Raw genomic sequence first — 18,165 nt, 5'->3', positions numbered from 1 at the left:
AAAGGATTTCCTTTAGGTGCCCCTCCCCATCCTCCTCCCCTTGGTCATCCCTGGGGAAGACAAAATGAACATCTCTTGGGTGAAAAACATAAGCCAGGATTCTGTCTTGTTCACTTCTAGATCCCCAGAGCCCATAGAGGGCTTGGCATATAATGGGCCTTCAAGAAGTGTGTGTTTGAATGAATGAACTGAATCAGTGCTTTAATCCAATGCGCTCCCCACATTCAGGTTCTATAGACTTGTTCAAAAAGAAAATATTACTAGTACCAACCATTGTTACCAAAAAGGGCATTTAGGCACAAAGATAAAATAGTAAAGACTTATTTATTATAAACAATAGTCCTTTAGAGACATTTATTTTTCATGAAAAATCTGGTGTCTGTATTTTTTCTATTTCTTGTTACACAGACAAAAACTTCCTCATGGACCCTAGTGATTCATGTACTGATGTCCACCTTTTTTTTTTTTTTTTTTTTTTTTTGAGACAAGGTCTGGCTCTATCACCTAGTCTGAAGTGCAGTGGCTCAATCTTGGCTCATTGTCCAACCTCTGCCTCCTGGGCTTAAGCCATCTTCCCACTTCAGCCTCCTGAGTAGCTGGGACTACAGATACGTACCACCATGCCTGGTTAACCTTTGTATTTTTTGTAGAGACGGGGTTTTGCCTTGTTGCCCAGGCTGGTCTCCAATTCCTGAGCTCAAGCAATCCTCCTGCCTTGGCCCCCTAAAGTGCTGGGATTACAGGCATGAGGCATGAGCCACTGCACCCAGCTATGATGTCCACCTCCTTCAACAATACACTTTTCAAATACATACACCCACCCTTTTTCTCCAACTATTTATTTTGAACATATTCAAATTTAGCAAAATTAAAAGGACAAGTATAGTCTAATAAATACAAATATACTCTTCACTTAGATTCAGCAATTGTTAACATTTTGTCACACAAAATTACTTTATTTCCTTCATTCTTATCTCTAACACAAACACAGAAAAAAAAAATTCTGAACCATTTAAAGGTTGTTGACATCTTGACATTTCTCCCTTAAATACTTCTGCATGAATATCCTAAGAATCATATTTTCCTATATAACCATACATTATTATCAACATCTAAGATAATTAACAGCAATTGCATAATATCTAACATACACACTATAGTCCATATTCAAATTCCCCCAACTGTCCCTCAAGTGCCTTAAAACATCCCCTCCCCTTTCGGGATCTTAATAGAGAATGCACTCATTATATAGGGTAATGTCTCTTCAGGCTCTTTCACCTAGCACATCCTCCCTCCCCACTCCCATCCCCACCTTTCTTTTTCATAATAGTGACTTTCTTGATAAATCCAGGCCGATTGTTTCACAGACTGCCTCACATGCTATATTTGTCTGATGGTTTCCTCATGATTAGATTCAGTGAAACATTTTTAGCATGAATACCACATACGGGATGCTGTGAACTACTGACTGAATCACAGTGATTGGCACATATGTCAGGTTGTTCCACTACTGGTAAGACTGACCTTGATCCCTTGATTAGCATGGGGACTTTCCAGCTGTGCTCCATTGTAAAGTACTAATTGTAAAGTACTAATTGTAAAGTATTAATTCCCTTGGTAATTAATAGTAACTCTATGAGGTGATACTTTTAGTCCACGTAGATTTTTAAGCAACTATTGGTAATCCTTGCCTGAATTAATGGATATGATCAGAACTGCAAAATTATAACTTTCTACTTCTTTCATTGTTCTTATATTTATTAGGTGCCATTCCTCTGAAAAGAGAACATTTCCTCTCTTACAATCCTCTGTACTGGCATTTCGATGTTTTCTGAGTATTACTATGAATGCATGGTTCTCTAATACTTCAGTGTATCTTAAATTACTAGTCATTATGCTTTTTGGTGCTCAGAATGTCTCAGTGAAGCCCTTTCAACTGGATTTTCTGAGCTCTGAAATGATCCCATTGAATTTAGAGCTAATCATTGCTTTTTGATATAAAATATCCTAGACCTACCTTCCCTGTTTAATGAACTAGATTATAAAAACTAAATACTTACTACTAGATTTTCAGCTCAACGAGAAAACTCAGTAATTTTTAATTGACTTTTACCCTCAATATCTAACCAAACAGTATTATCACATTTGTAGTTTACAAAAAGTAATTTTTGTGCATTTCCATTTTTAAAAGTCTGAGATGGTGTAAATCTCACTAAGAAAAAGAGATACCTAATTCTTTCTAAGACAATTGTTGGACAGCATAAAGTATTCCTTTGCAAGCCTAGGAAGAAAAGGTATAGGGAAGTTATAACTCTGAGAAAGCTGCAATAAATCAATGGACAAAAGGAGGAATGATATGTAGAGATTTAGTGATGTGCCACATTTCCTACTAAACACAACATTAAATCCAGCTATTCACGCTACACTCATTAACTTTTATATCCAGAGTCTCATTTCACATAAAAGTTAAACTGGCATCATGATGTTAAAACAAAAACACTTAGGGAACGGCACTGATGAGAGACTATTGAAAAGATCATGGTAGAGAACTATTTTGAAATTAAAATGTTTCCCTTATTTTCCAGATCTGCACAGTTTTTTGATACAAAATATTTATCTTCCTTTGTCACATTTTCTCCAGGAAACAGGAAATGCCTCACTTTTTATTCCTCATAACTCATCTTGCAACTGCTGCAAAAGTAAAAATTCACGTTTGAATGTTCTCCTTAAAAAGCAAATAAAATTTAATACATTTTTCTTAAGAGTAGTCCAAAAATAGAATTCTCTGGCACTGATTTCAAGCAAATATCTTGCCACCATAATGTGTGTGACTCCTGTTGGGCACAGAAGCATGATGTTTATTACTACAAGATCAGGTATATATCCCTGTAGCATTATAAATTTTTAAAAAGTGGGAAAATGCCAGGTGCAGTGGCTCACGCCTGTAATCCCAGCACTTTGGGAGGCCGAGGCGGGCAGATCACGAGCTCAGGAGATCGAGACCATCCTGGCTAACACGGTGAAACCCCGTCTCTACTAAAAATACAAAAAATTAGCTGGGCTTGGTGGCGGGCGCCTGTAGTCCCAGGTACTCTGGAGGCTGAGGCAGGAGAATGGCGTGAACTCGGGAGGCGGAGCTTGCAGTGAGCGCCACTGCACTCCAGCCTGGGCCACAGAGCGAGACTCCGTCTCAAAAAAAAAAAGTGGGAAAATTATTTACTTTATTGCAGTAGTAAGCAAGATGTTAATCTGATGGTCATAAAAACTTGAATAGCATTTTAATATTTTCTTTATTGTGAAAACATAAACAAAGGGGAAAACCCTACTGAGTATTAAACTTGAGGTATTTTAAGTCGCAATCTTGGAAAATCCATGTTAAAATGAAAGGCAAAAACTAGGAGTTTAGGAGAAGACTTAAATACTTTCCTCTAGAATGGACATCATAGTTCAGTGACATCAAGATGAATAATCAAAATTAGCCTAAATTCTTCAGGTAACACATTTGCTCCCTTCATGGAATATCAGCTTTATAATGATGACAAAAATTAGTAGTTAACAACAACACTGCCACCAACAAAAACCAGGTTAAATATAACAATTATTTTACTGCTTTAAGAAACTTGAGTCAAATAAACTACAGAGGTACCAAGTAAAAAGAGTGGAGGGTGATTTTGGGGCCTGGTGACTTAGGATCCTAGTTATAGAGCTGTGGTAATCAATCAGTAATCAGAAGACATGGTTCCTATACTTTTTAACCACAGAGCAAGTGGTTCCCCAAGCTTTACTGAAATTAGGCCCTAAAACCCCAACTCTTCAACCTCAAACAGAGCTTCAGGGAAAGACGGCTTATCACCAAAACTCTGAAACCTGCTCCAGCTTGGAAACCAAGATTTTCATCATGCTCAGTTTAACTCCTTTTAATCAACATCCCTACTGAATGAATTCTAAAGAGAGATTCTCAAAAGAGTGAATTCTCAAGATATCACTCTCTAAATTACAGATCAATTATTTTGATAGTTATTTTTCCATAACTTCAGATCATCATTCATACACTCTATTCTACCTATGAGAACATCTGTCAAAAAAATATGCAATATTATTTGCTGCTTTTAATCTTTTGTGGCTTTGATCTCATTTTAAAATGAATTATCGATTTACAGCCAAGGTATAATGAAAAGTTGGGTACATTTTCTATCAAACATATGACTTATATGCCACTAGGGCATTATTTTCTAACAAAACAAAACTGGCTTTCAGAGCATAATGAGGGCAATCTCTTAGCTATTGTTTGATTTAATGTTAACTGGAACAAACCCCATATGAATCTTCCAGTGACATTCTCCAACATTTAAAGTTTCAATATCAAATAACCACATACAGGTGGCCAGTTCATTCAGTTACCTAGAGGGAAGAGGTCACACAGTGCACAACTAGAAGCATTACTAAGGTTTTTATGGCCATGATAAAGAATGCTCTGAAATCTTTTTCAGAAAAAAAAGTCATTTTGGCCATGCTGAATTGAGTTTGGCATTTGGGGATTTCCATTAAGTACTTGGCTCAAGGGCTGAGGTGGACTTGCAGCTGCTTTCAGATAAAAACCCTGTCTTGATTTGCAGGTACCCACCCTACAGCTCGGCTCTGGCTAGAAGGTCTTCTGTCTGGACAACAGAAATGATCACATACCCCAATTTGGATAATCAAATGTTAGATCCAAAACTTGCAGCACTAGTTTCCAGGTTAAGGCTCCACCCTTAGCCAGCAAGCAGAATAGAGCACCATGTGGTCCTAGGCTGGGCGCTGATCCTTAAGTTTGCTGTATTACAACTCCTTCAGGTTTTCTTTCCTCTTAACTCTGTTCACCCCACTTTACCTTTTTAATTTCTATTAATTATTAAATCTGCTGCCTAAAATAGTTTCTCAAATAAGTCAGAAACACATACAAATCCAAGAAATACATTTATATAAGGCTATATAATCTAGACAAGAATTTATAAAAGAAATCCTTTGCAGTTATATTTGGAGCATGGAAGTAATTTTTTTGGTCCAGTTTCCAAGTGTTATTTTTCAGAATGAAAGTCAATGTGATTTTCTTCAGCACATACGTCAAAGGCCAAAGCTAAAAACCATTTATTTTATATTTTGATTTTTTTAAAGGATAGGCTTGTGATAGAGGTTTGGCCTCGGCCCTGAGAGATGGAAGAAATCTTAAATATAAATTCCTGTAGTGACAGAGGTTTCCTCTGAGGCACATTTAGGGAACCTGAGAATTTGACAGGCCCATTTCACTCTCTGAATGTCTACATGTGAGCTGAAGAATGAAGCTTAACTCATCCCAACTTTAATTGATGTTTCTAAACTATAACAGTACAATTAGAAATTTAGACAGAATCACTTAATTTATCTACTGTGACCTAATCTTAAATGGCCAAAAGCATAATGTGGAGTGGAGTCATGCACTAGTTTTCTTTCTCCCTCCACCCACATTTAGGCCACTTCTTTTTGTCATTCCCAAATTTCAGCCCAAGTAAATCTACCCTACTTGTTCCCTCCTCAGAAAGTCTTTAATCTCAGAGAATATTTGGTTAAACCTGAGATTCTATCAGGCAAGAAGGAAAACAATCCAATTCAAAGTTAGGGCAAGAAGTACAGCCTGATTAACCACAAGGGCTGAATTTGGAAGGATCACATGTGTTATATGTATGGGCAGCTTCCAGGGGCAGAGTCCTCTACCCCAGATCTTTCTGCTGTTTCCATCAGTTCAGGCATCTACAATCCATGCCATTGCTTGCCCCATAATTGGAGGAGGTATGGATTTGCTACCATAGGTTAGTATCTCCCCCAGTTCCACTGAGAATAATAAACCTCTATAAAGAAATAATTGGCCCGTGGGAATAAAGATACTATCCACCGAACACTCAGTGTAAGCCCTCAGTGCAAAGGCTCTTTCCCACCACAAACCTCTCCTGGGTCTTTGTTTCCTGGGATTCAGGCCAGCCTGAAGACCATGAATTCTGCAGACAGAGAACGTGTTTGAGAGTCAGATCATGTGGAGTTGGGCTTTCAGCTGCAGCTACTCCTTATTGCAATGTGATGGGGGAAAGTGTGTTAACATCCCTGACTTCTAAGAGTCTCATCTGAAAAATGGGTTAAAATAGCTACCACACCTGGCTGCTATGACAAAGCACTGGTTACAGTGGGTGGGTGGTTTTAATCTCTTTCTCCTCAGCAACTTGCTGACAGCTTGGTAATCTATAATGTTCTCATTAATTGAACCTCATCAGTTTAAAGATAACTTTTTCATGCAAGAATTATTTTCTATAGCTCCCAGATTAATCTGCTACTACTGATATTTATTGATGGCATTAGCTATATAGAAATCAATAACATGTAATTCCAGTTCTTTCAAGAAGCATACAAAGAAAACCCATGCAAGTAATTATAATTCAAAGCCAGGAGGAGGGAAATGAATTTTACTTAGCAATTTTGTGCCAGGCACTGCTCTAGATACTGGGGATATGTGGTCAACAGCACAAAGTCCTGGCCTGCCAGAAGCTTATACCTTCACAAGTAAGTAAGATCACTTCAAGTTCTAATAAGTGCTAAGATAATATAATATGCGAGGTGACTGGAAGGCTTCTTTGGCTCAGAGGATCAAGGACAACTTCTGAGAAAGAAACACTGGAATTGTGACCTAAACAGCACGAAGACAGCCATGGGACAAGTTGGTGGAGAATATTCCAAGGTGAAGGAACAAGAGCTGAGATGGGAGCCTGGACAAGTTCTAGGGAAAAGCAAGAAAAGCACCAGTGGCTGGAGGGAAGAGAACAAAGGAGAGACTAAAGTAAGATTAGGAGACAGAGACAGAAGGCAGACCATGTAGGACTTTATGGACCATGAACCTTATTCTGGGTACAATGTGAAGCTATCAGAGGATTTGACACCTTAGATACCAATCTGATTTCCATTTAGAAAACTCTTCTGGATACTGAATAGGGGATCGATTGACTGCAGAAGCAACAGTGAAGGTAGAAGTGTGAAGTACAAGCCTGTTTCAAGAGTCCAGACAAGAATCAAACATGTCTTGGATGAGGGAGGGAAGGCAGATTTGGACAGTGAAAGAACAAGAGAGATTGAGGCTGACAGGTAGAGTTCAGAACAAATGGGTAGAAATAGAAAGTCACAAAGCTGATGGTGAAGCCTTAGGGAGGGAAAGGGGGAACTCAATGATTCTATTTGGGACATACTATATATGAGATACTTTTTGAACAGCTAATTGGAGATGTCAAGTAGGAAGCTGAAAATATGTACCTGTAGCTGAAGGTAAATTTTTATTTTTATTTTTTTGAGACGGAGTCTCACTCTGTCGCCAGGCTGGAGTGCAGGCTGTTTCGGCTCACTGCAACCTCCAACTCCTGGGTTCAAGCAATTCTCCTGCCTCAGCCTCCTGAGCAGCTGGGATTACAGGCACGTGCCATCACGCCCAGCTAATTTTTGTATTTTTAGTAGAGACAGGATTTCACCATGTTGACCAGGATGGTCTCGATCTCCTCACCTCATGATCTGCCCGCCTCGGCCTCCCAAAGTGCTAGGATTACAGGCGTGAGCCACTGTACCTAGCCGCTGAAGGTAAATTGAGATAAATATCATGAATGTGAAAAAAGAACAATGCTGATAGAACTAAAGAGGCAATGATCACTTCAGGGAAGGCAGTCTGGTGAGCGTACCTGTACTGTGGCTTTACTTGGGCATGGATGACTCCTTATTCAGACTTGACTACTGAGCCCCAGAGCTACTCCTGGACATCACAACCAGGGCCTTGTGAGTACCTCAATCTTGATGAACAAAACAGAAGTCACCACTGTTTCTGCAAAAACCTAGCCCATCTTACAGCTTCCTCACCTTTGGTGGCTGCTTGCTACCTTAAAAATAAACAAATAAATGACAAACAAACCCTTAAGTGAGATCTACAAGGTTCTGGGTGATAAGGCTCATGCCTTCCCTTCCAGCCTCCCCAAATTGGGTTCCTCAATTTATACTAGTTCCTCAAATTGCACTGTTCTGTCTTCACTCCAGAGCTCTATATGTGCCACTCTCCCTACTAAATTTACTTACTCATTTTCCTTCCAGCAAACTTCTCTTTCTCATGCCATCTCTCATTGTAACAGCAGCTACTGAGGGCCTAGTATGTGCCAGGCATGATGCATAGAACCTTCCTCCAGGAAGCCTTCCTTAACAACACCCCTCCCCCAGGCTGGGCTGGACACCACTTCTCTGTGCTTCCATAGCAACCTGCCTACCTTTACCAGAGCACTTTCCCACCATATCTAATTTTTCACTTTACTAATGTATAACCACCTCAGTCTGAAAATGAGCTGAGGCCCATATGTAACAGCAATATTTTTTTTTTAATGAGTAAAGACAATGAAGAAAAAAATGAAGCCAGAATTACAGCTTAATACAACAAACTACACTTCTTCAGGTACTGCACACTTTTTATAGGTCAAATGCACATTCAGTTCTGAGCCTCTCAGTTAACAATACCAAAGTGAGACACATGGCACAATCCATCGTGTCCATAAGACAGAAGGCAAACTACTCAGAACGTCCACTACTCTTGCCTGCAATCTCACCTGGATGTATCTGTAACAATTGCACTTTAAGATAAAACAGAGTGACAATAATAGTGGTATAGACAGTATAAAGAGTACATATGGTAACAAATTTCATAGGGATATTTATTAAAGTGGTCCTCAATGAAGATCAACAACATAAGGCAAAAGCACTCTTCAGTAAAAATGATTCCATGGGAGCTCAAAACAATGAAACAAACAATGAGCCTATTTAGAAGAGGCTCTCCAGGGTACCAAATCCTCTTCTACTCCTGCATCTCTGCTCAGGCCCTTTCCTGACCTGGACAGTGCAGTGGAGAAATAATAAGATCATGCATGAGCTGCTGTGTGGCTAATATTTTGAGAAAGTTGAAACACACCAGGTAGAGAGAGTTATTATAGATGAAAGTTTCTCAAACTTTTTTGACTGTGACCTATTCCTAAGACATATATGTTATTATGTCACACCCCAATTTACACATGCATGTATGTATAACTGAAACAAACATTTGGTGTAATATGATACTTATGGATACATTTTGTATAATATGTTACTTATGATACTTAATATGATACAAAATATATTCATACTTTATGTCAGATCATTTTTTTTAATCCTGGTTGCAACCATTATACTGATTTCATGACTCACTAGTGGGTTGTTACCAAAGGTTTGAAAGATGTAACCTGTATGAATTTAAGCCTTTCTTGATGACCTCATTTCAGTGGTAGATTCATAGCTTCCAGCATCCAAGCAAATTCAAGTGATTTACACAGACGGTGGTTCTGTGATCCACCAAAACTACCTTGCCACTTCTTCCCCTCAATGTAGCAAGCCTGGTGGGTGATACAATGGTTCTTTCACCTTCCATTCCTAGCAAGAAGCCAAGAATACCTGGTATATGATGGATGGACAATAAGCATTTGTTGAAAAAATGAATGGCCATCTAGCCTATGCATGGCTTAAGGGATCTTCTGATAGCTCATCGCTACCTAAGACTTCAACATCAAGTACAACTGCCTCCTCCTCTGGGCTCTGTTGAGAGCCAGCAGCCACCTTCTTCCAGATGTTTCTTTTACCCCATCACCTGGGTAAACAAGTCCTCTTTAAGGACTTCCCATTGTCTTCCTCTTTAGGCAGGTTCTCTCACATACATATATACAGACAAGAATTACATCCTTAGTATTTAAAAACATTGTTTTCTCCAATTTGAATATTGTTTAACTCAGAAATTAAAGAGGAAACCTTTCATCCCAAAGGGATTTGATCTTTTATTCTAACTGGAAAGCAGTGATAATTTGGAGCTTTTTTGACATAAACGAAACGTCGTTGATGCAAATGTCATCATGGCATGTTGAAAAGCATGAGGTTTCTAAGGGAGGAAAAGTAAGACTGAGTTTAGAGAAATTATTTCACTTACTATTGGCTCTACTGTACTATACCCAGGAGCCATTAAATCTGTGACTGCTTGTAAATAACTTAATTCATTTAGACTCAGTTAAAATTAAAATTCACTTGCAATTTTTCCTCCTTAAGTATATTCCTATGTCATATGCACACACACAGAAAATGGAATGGTTTCTGTTTTATAAATCTGCAGGTTACTAGAGACATTTAATATAGTTCATGTTTAGTTTATGATTACAAAATTACCTTTTATAATGATAATTACATGTCAAAATTAAGCTCATAAGAATCACCATTTCCAATCAACAAGTCAGGTGCCCAATTTGGGTGCTGGTTTTGGAATGCCCTGACTAGTCACAATTGGTTCATGTTTGAAGTCATTTTGTGGAGGGATTTATTTAGTATGCCCCATCTTCTCCCTTAGGAGTTTAGCTCCTACTGGGAGCTTTAGGGCTCTGGGAGGTGAAGCCTGCTCTGTTACCTGCAGGGCAAAGGTGTAGGATTCATCTCTTTCTAGAAATAACTGCAATAAGAGGGAAATCTTTTGTCTCTTGGGTAGCCTGTGAGGGCAGTCAACACTGTACCTTAGGCCTTGTTTTAATCCTTTAAAAAAGATGTCTGGCCGGGTGCGGTGGCTCATGCCTGTAATCCCAGCACTTTGGGAGGCCAAGGCAGGTGGATCATGAGGTCAGGAGTTCAAGACCAGACTGGCCAAGATGGTGAAACCCCATCTCTACTAAAAAATACAAAAATTAGCCAGGCGCGGTGGCAGGCGCCTGTAATCCCAGCTACTCAGGAGGCTGAGGCAGGACAATTGCTTGAACCAGGGAGGCAGAGTCTGCAGTGAGCCGAGATCATGCCACTGCACTCTAGCCTGGGCGACAGAGCAAGACTCCGTCTCAAAGAAAAAAAAAAAAAAAGATATCTGGGTCAGATCTCTGGAAGCTCCCTGGAATAGGGCCTCTGATAGTGGTATTCATGTGATTTAAAAATTAAAAGAGTAACTCTGGGTCTTGAGGCAACAATGAACTCTTCAGGGATGGGACATGCATTCCCGGCATTTTGACAAAGGACTGTAACAAATATTATTACATCAGAACAAGGATCTCTGAGGAAAGAAATAATAGTAATAATAAAATAAAAAATAAAAAAATACTATTACAAATTTTGAGGAACACACATTAACCATTTTCGTTGGACTCAGAGTGTAATTTTGAAACTTAGAATTTGGAAATAAAGGTGTTTTAATCAATTGCTTTCTACTAGTTAAAAAGTTAACTCTGTTTTCAAAAGTAATATCAGTAAGAAAAAGACATTACAGAATAAAATTATGAGAAAATTAACAATTATGATTTGAACAACCCTCTTCACATAGTTAATATTAGTGTAAACCATTTTAGATGAGACATATTGACTCAATAGTCTGTGCTTGGCGACCCTGTGAATAGATTAGTTCCATTAATAACTGTTGGTACTTGAGAATAAGGCCATTTGTTTAAATTTCTTCTCAAAAATAGTATTTTGACCAAGTCAAATAGACTTTTGCTGAATTTTAGTCTGTATTTAAAAACTTAAAAAATATATACTGAAATTTGAAGTTGAATTTGTTAAGGGAAAATAATTGCTATTTTATCATTGGAGACAGGATTCACAAAGATGCGTTCTGTAATAATTCAAGCTTTTTAAGATTCTTTTCCTAGGAACAGCAATAAGCGGACAAACTGCTCCTCTGCATGAATATCTTTTGATTTAAAACTGGTATGACGCTCATTAAAATAATTGAAAGAATTACATACAATTAGTGAGCTAGTTATGCCTAAGGAGCAGACACTGGCTCTTCACTCACTTGGCATACTACTTAAATCCCAAACTTCTGCTATTTTTTAAAGATGGTATACTATATATGGTGACAAATTAAATATTTAGAGATAACTAATCAGTAGAACTAAAACTGCATCCTTCAATACCCCAAGGACCAGTAAGACACCAAAGTTCAAAGATATGGTTCAGAATACTGATTTCCTAAGAGCACCCAACTGCAGAAGAACAGATGGTCTGTGAACAATAAAGATTCTAAAGAAATACACGTTTCAGCATGACATATAAGGCATGTGGGTTGAAATGATAAGAAGCATATAGGAAAACTAATTAATCATTGTCACCAACAAAATAACATATAGAGAGGCACAGGAGGTTTCAGGTAAGCCAAAAGTGGGCAACTTCATTTCTAACAATTGGATAACAACTGAACACAGCAGATATTTGACACACGTTTCCAACAATGTTTAAAAACTACAGGCTACCATTATGGTTATATTACACTACGCCTTCTATTTGTGTTTCTGTTCACATGTTCATTTCATCTGGGGCTAGTAAGCACCTATTTTACAGAAATCAATGTGGTATAACTAAATTGAATGCAAATTTTAATCCTTTTGTAAGAAATACCATAGATGAAATCCATATACTCATTATAGCAGACTAGTTAAATGCAGACTCTGGCACCAAACTGCCTGCCTTTGGTTAACCTTGGGTTACTTACTTTACTTTTCTCTCCCTCAGTTTCCTCATTTGTTAAACAGAAGGTATTAATAAGACCTTATTATTCAGGTTGCTATGAAGATTGAACTGGTTAACAGTCACAAAGAGCTCAGAATAGTGCCTGAACGTCACAGGTACTACATAAGTGTTAAGCACATGAATAAGAAGGCTTTTTAAACCATTTAATTTTCCGCCCTGCAGTTAAGGAGATGTCAGACTCTCGGGGGCTAAGAGAGTAGACACAGGCTGTAAAACAGTGCAGGTGATTTTAATAGTTTGTGTTATCTTCCTCCCCACTGTGTCCTACCACCTGAACTAGATTACCTCTTAGTTTCTTCTCGTTAAAAGAAAAAGATCATTTATCTTATGGGAAACAAACAAAATTCCCTTTTCTGACACTCTGTTTAAAAAGAACTGCCTTTTTCTTTAACTTTATAAAATTAAGTTTGATTAGAAGCTTAGTTATCCTCCAGCAGATAACAGGTCCCAAGAAATCACTCAAATCATTCTTACTTCAGCCTTCGCTTAGTCAAAACAAAAGTTTAATTGTTGTTGACTAAGTGATGAATTTCTTTCAAAGAAATCAATCGTATGGATTATCGTTTCCAACTCCAGGAAGGTAAACATTAAAATTCAAATTAATATAAATTTCTACACATAACATGCCCTTAAACCTCCCCTAGTGCAATTATAACTGTTGGTTTTTTAAAGAGACTTAAGCACTGAAATGGAATTGACATTTGGACCAGAGAGAAATGGAAGAAAACATGAAGACTAGAAATCCAGGGGCAGGGGACAAAAGGGTTCCCAGAATCTCTGCCCAGTTTCCTAAAGAAATGCTCAAAAATGGGTTTAGTAGCTATGAACATCCTGCACAAAAAATGCCAGGATCTGTGAACAAACTTAAATCTGTGAATAGCAGGTTGGTGATGTGTCAAAGTTCCTTTGGAATTCATAGGGAAAGTTTCACCGTTCTTTGGGCTATAAACAAACATTTTTGGTAATAGTAAAATTACAACATCTCCCAAAGCAATCAAATTCAACAGTGCTGTAAGCTCCATCTGTGGCACAAATTCTACCCACCAGGGGTTTTTAATTCCATGAGGGAAAGGTTGCGTGCATGTACTTATGTACTTGCCCTTCTGATAGTTTTCTACACAACAGTTAATCTTGAGTCCTAACTTTCCGGATCACTTAAGATAGAAATGCTGCCAAGGAAAATGCATACACTCATTTAGAAAACCATCACGAATTAAATGCACCTCCCTTTGAAATATGGACTGCAAACTTTTTTCCCCCAATGGCATCGTATGAGGGTCACAGCTTGAAATATCTGGTAATAGATGTCAATAACAAACAATAATGGTTTGCTACTTTGATTATGAAAGGAGGCATTAAAAGAGCAATCTATTGCTCTACTCCTTCCAAATTAGCTATGAGTTTGTACCAGCTCAGAAAATCGATTTCCTTTAGGAGAGGGATCCTTGCACTTCGGGCAGCTGCTGCCATGTGAAAGGTTCTATCTTTGGGTGGCTTGGAATTGATGGTTAGGCTGAAAGTATACACGAAATTATTATCAATAGTATAAAATCCCGACTTGCACTTTTTACACACACAAAAATATGCTTTTTCATTACACTAACAGCAAATTTAACTCTGGTTTTCTACTACTTAACAACTTATTAGCCTAGTTAGAACAATGAATGAAGACAATATTTATTAGAACAAAAGCTGCTTTCATGACTTAAAAACTCATGCCTACCTATATATTCTTTTTTTGATGAAGAGCTCTTGTGTTTCTCTGTCACTCCCTCAACACCCAGGGCCCTGCTCCTCACCCTAGGACTCAACACAGGCTCATCTCAGGAATGGCCCTCCCTGCTTACCTCCTTGGCCCTTTAAACCAGATAAAGTCTACCCTCCTAACGTGGCTTGTCCTGAGAGTTGAATTCAAAGAGATCTACATCTACTCCTGCCTCTTTAGGCATCATGGCAACATGAATGTTTTTACAATGGATGCTGACTCACAGGGGCTGTGCCTGCTGCAGGCCTGTCCCTTAAGTTCTGAGGGTGGTCTTCCAACTGCATTTTTTAAAATTATTCCTTTCCTCCACCCTCAACTCACTCACTTAAAACAAACAAACAACCTTTTTCTTCCTTTCACAAAACTAAACCAAATTAAACAAACAAAAAAACTTACTTCCAAACAAAGTTTACACAGTTTAAAACCAACGTTACAGTAGGTGAGCCAGTCTTTCATAACCAACTTTTCCTCATTCCAAACCACATCATCTATAAACCTAATAAAATACATTTTACTAGCTTGTTTTTTCCTTCACCCTTTTCCAATTTACACATGACCAAATAAATCTGGTAGGAAACGTGGTATGTGGAGTTGATTTCAAATTTTTAATTCAAATCTATTTCTTATTATTTGTTTTCTTTTAGGGCTAGTCTAAGAGCTTTCCAGAACAATTATCCTATAACATAGTGTCCAACTTCTAATGCCTCAAAAGGCAAACAAACTCAAAATACTTATGAAATATAAATGTTATAATAAGATGGACAACCAAGTTTTTAAAAACTTGACAATTTCCTCCACCCAGATTAAATATATGTGCAGGTTTATATAATTATATAGAAAACTGTTTTTCAGCCTTATTTAGTGATATTAGAATGTTGCTTACAATCTTGGATTATACATTAGGCTTTCTTTGCTGTTCTCCTTGTATAGGACAGGACTTTACATAGAGAACCCTCAAATATTTTATTCACAGACTTTAAAACATGATAACAGTGGTTTATAAATAAGTAAACTTCTTAACACACTACATTCCCTCCTAGGTTAGAAAAGTAATATCGGCCATATCAGATCCTTGGTGTTCAAAGTTAAAACAAGTACTATTTCTTAACAATGGCTTCATCTAAAAATTACTAAAATCACAAGCTAATGTAGAAACATTTGGACATATAAGTAACCAAAACCTAGTCTTACCACCACCACCTCAGATTATAAGGAATTATTAAAAAGTAAACATTTTGTAAGACATAAACATATTGAATACAGAGGATGATATAGACACAAACAATTGTTTCATGGTAAAGTGAGAAGTAGCTATGCTGATTAATATAAATTTTAAAATAATGAAATAGGATTCAGATAAAATTTTCCTTAGAGTGAAAAGGTATTAACAACCTAAATACTCTAGTTATAGGGCCAGATGGATATGCTACATGAAATTTAGAAAATGGATAAGAAATTAAGACCTACAGTTAGGTAAACATTATAGTGTGCATTCCATCTTCTAAAGCACATCAAATCAGGTTAACGAAACAGAATCTCATCTAAACAGGAAGCCCAAATTTAAGGGTTTGTCAAAAAGTTGTGTAACAAAAGAAAACAGGTAAGACCAAGAAAGAGTCACCCTATATATATTTTTTATTTGAAAAAGTCTTTCTCCACATTTTTAATGGCTTATTTATAATTTTATTTGAAGATATTTTCCTGTCACAAAAACCTTTAAGAGTTACCTAATCTATTTCTCCTAATTAGGAATTTTCCCACTATGGCTACAGGGCCTTAGAAGGGGGCTGAAGCTTCAGCTTTATTCACTTCATTAGCGGCCTCTTTAGGACTTTTCTGAAAGAATTGTCTGAGGGTGGGGACAGTGTTTTGTTTGGTCTGATTTCAAAAGGTGAGATTTAAAAAAAAAAAAAAAAACAATGGCACAGTCCAGTGAAAAGGGTAACGGTACCACCAGAGGATGTGTCTTACCATACAGGTATCCAGATCTTCCAAACGCTCTATCTCTGTTAGCTCCTCCACTGTGATGATGGAACGTTTAACTGGCTTCTCCTCAGCCAGCTCGATCTCTAAGGATTCTTGTTGAGGAAGGGTCTTGCCACGTCTGCTGAAATGGTCAGCCTAGAAGGTCAAGACGTGTACGAGGAGAAATTAAAGTACAGAGAAAGTGCTGGTTAGCAGGATTCCTGAAGACGTCTTCCACAAGATGGCGCAGTGGAGCACAAAGCTGACGAGTGACAAGGACAATTCTTAATACATTCACAGTACAGTAACTTACCTCCTTTTATTATCTTTCTTTGGAGGACAGAGTGTTTTAAGCAATAAGTTATAAATCTCTTAGTAAATGAAGAGACAACATAGTAGTGTTCTTTTTATTAATTTTATTTGATAATTCCTCTGAAGAAATTTCCTTCTATACTAAAAAGTATCTGAGAGTAATAAAACAATTCCAACTTTCATTATTTTTAAAGGACTGAAAAGAAGGAAATTACTAGCAAAATTTTAATTCCTGCTCGCTTTCATTGTTTTCATATAATGAATACCATATTTGATATGATTTCTTAATTTCCAGTGTTATACTTTAGGTAAACATAAAAAATTAAATAAGAGGTAGAATAAGCTTGGCTGAAATTAACAAACTTCAGTGCTGAGCTGATCTGACACCAGGAACTTTGATTTAATTCTTCTGAAACAATGAAAACCAGTTGGCAAGTCCACGGAAACTTTGAGAACGTTTACAAACTTAAGTTGGTGAAAATGGTATCTGAAAGTCATTGAAACCAAGGTTTCATTTTGAAGACAGTATTTCCTTCATATGAGACTTAATCTCTTTCCTTATAATCTAAATCAGCAGTATTAATGTTAAAATGAAGTTCAAACCAAAAGTGCATTCAGCAAATTTTTTCGCAATTAAAAAAATCAATACTTTCTGAGTAAATTCTTTAAGAAAAAACAAATGCAAAAAAGTGAAAAATTCAAACTTTCAGTGTAGTTCTCACATGAAGATTTCTGTTAGTATAATATGTACTATTTGTGTCATAAGTAAGCATTTTAAGGCCATTCCTGGAGCCATGGGTTATCAATAAACTGTTTCTAAAATAAGTTTATTTTAAAAGGATGCTCTAGGCCAGGTGCAGTGGCTTATACCTGTAATCCCAGCACTTTGGGAGGCTGAGGCAGGTGGATCACTTGAGGTCAGGAGACTGAGAAAGGATTTCACATGGTGAAACCTCATCTCTACTTAAAATACAAAAATTAGCCAGGTGTGGTGGCACACACCTGTAATCCCAGCTACTCGGGAGGCTGAGTCAGGAGAATCACTTGAACCTAGGGGCAGAGGTTGCAGTGAGCCAAGATCGCACCACTGCACTCTGGCCTGAGTGACAGAGCAAGACTCCATCCTGAATGAATGAATGAATGAATGAATGAATGAATGAATACTCTATTGCTTTTGTTTGTACTTATTTAAAAAAAGGCTGAATCAGGAGCTCTAAACAATCATGTAGCTCTTTACTGTGCCAGGAAATAGAAAACAGTGTTTCTTACATTCAATGTGGTGATAAACTGGTTTTTTATATTTCCAATTTAGCACAAACCAATACACTGTTAAAATACAATAAAAAAGAAAAATCAGAAAGATAACATGTGTTTGGATACTCTATCTTTTTTGGTGCTACAATGAAAAACTATATTTTTTCATATGCACTGATATTGGAAGCTCAAGAAGTTTCTGGATGCTTCCTCTGGGGAACCATCCATTAGTGGGCCACCTCTGGTCCACAGGCAGCATTTGAATTGTGCTA

The 18,165-nt window shown here is 37.5% G+C and overlaps 1 protein-coding gene across 20 annotated transcripts in view; it reads right to left on the bottom strand.

Moving 5' to 3' along the window:
• Positions 1-18,165, bottom strand: part of CARMIL1 (capping protein regulator and myosin 1 linker 1) — a 341,157-nt gene that overhangs the window by 47,347 nt on the left and 275,645 nt on the right. For all 20 annotated transcript variants that reach the window (XM_017011008.2, XM_017011009.2, XM_017011015.2 and 17 more), the window contains one exon: positions 16,334-16,483. In XM_017011008.2, the coding sequence (XP_016866497.1) occupies positions 16,334-16,483 (150 nt within the window). The remainder of the gene's footprint in view (positions 1-16,333; positions 16,484-18,165) is intronic.

Source organism: Homo sapiens, chromosome 6 (genome assembly GCF_000001405.40).
Source record: "Homo sapiens chromosome 6, GRCh38.p14 Primary Assembly".
NCBI classification, from domain to species: domain Eukaryota; kingdom Metazoa; phylum Chordata; class Mammalia; order Primates; family Hominidae; genus Homo; species Homo sapiens.
The sequence above is the reverse complement of the archived record's forward strand: the minus strand, read 5'-3'. Positions and strand labels throughout refer to the sequence as shown.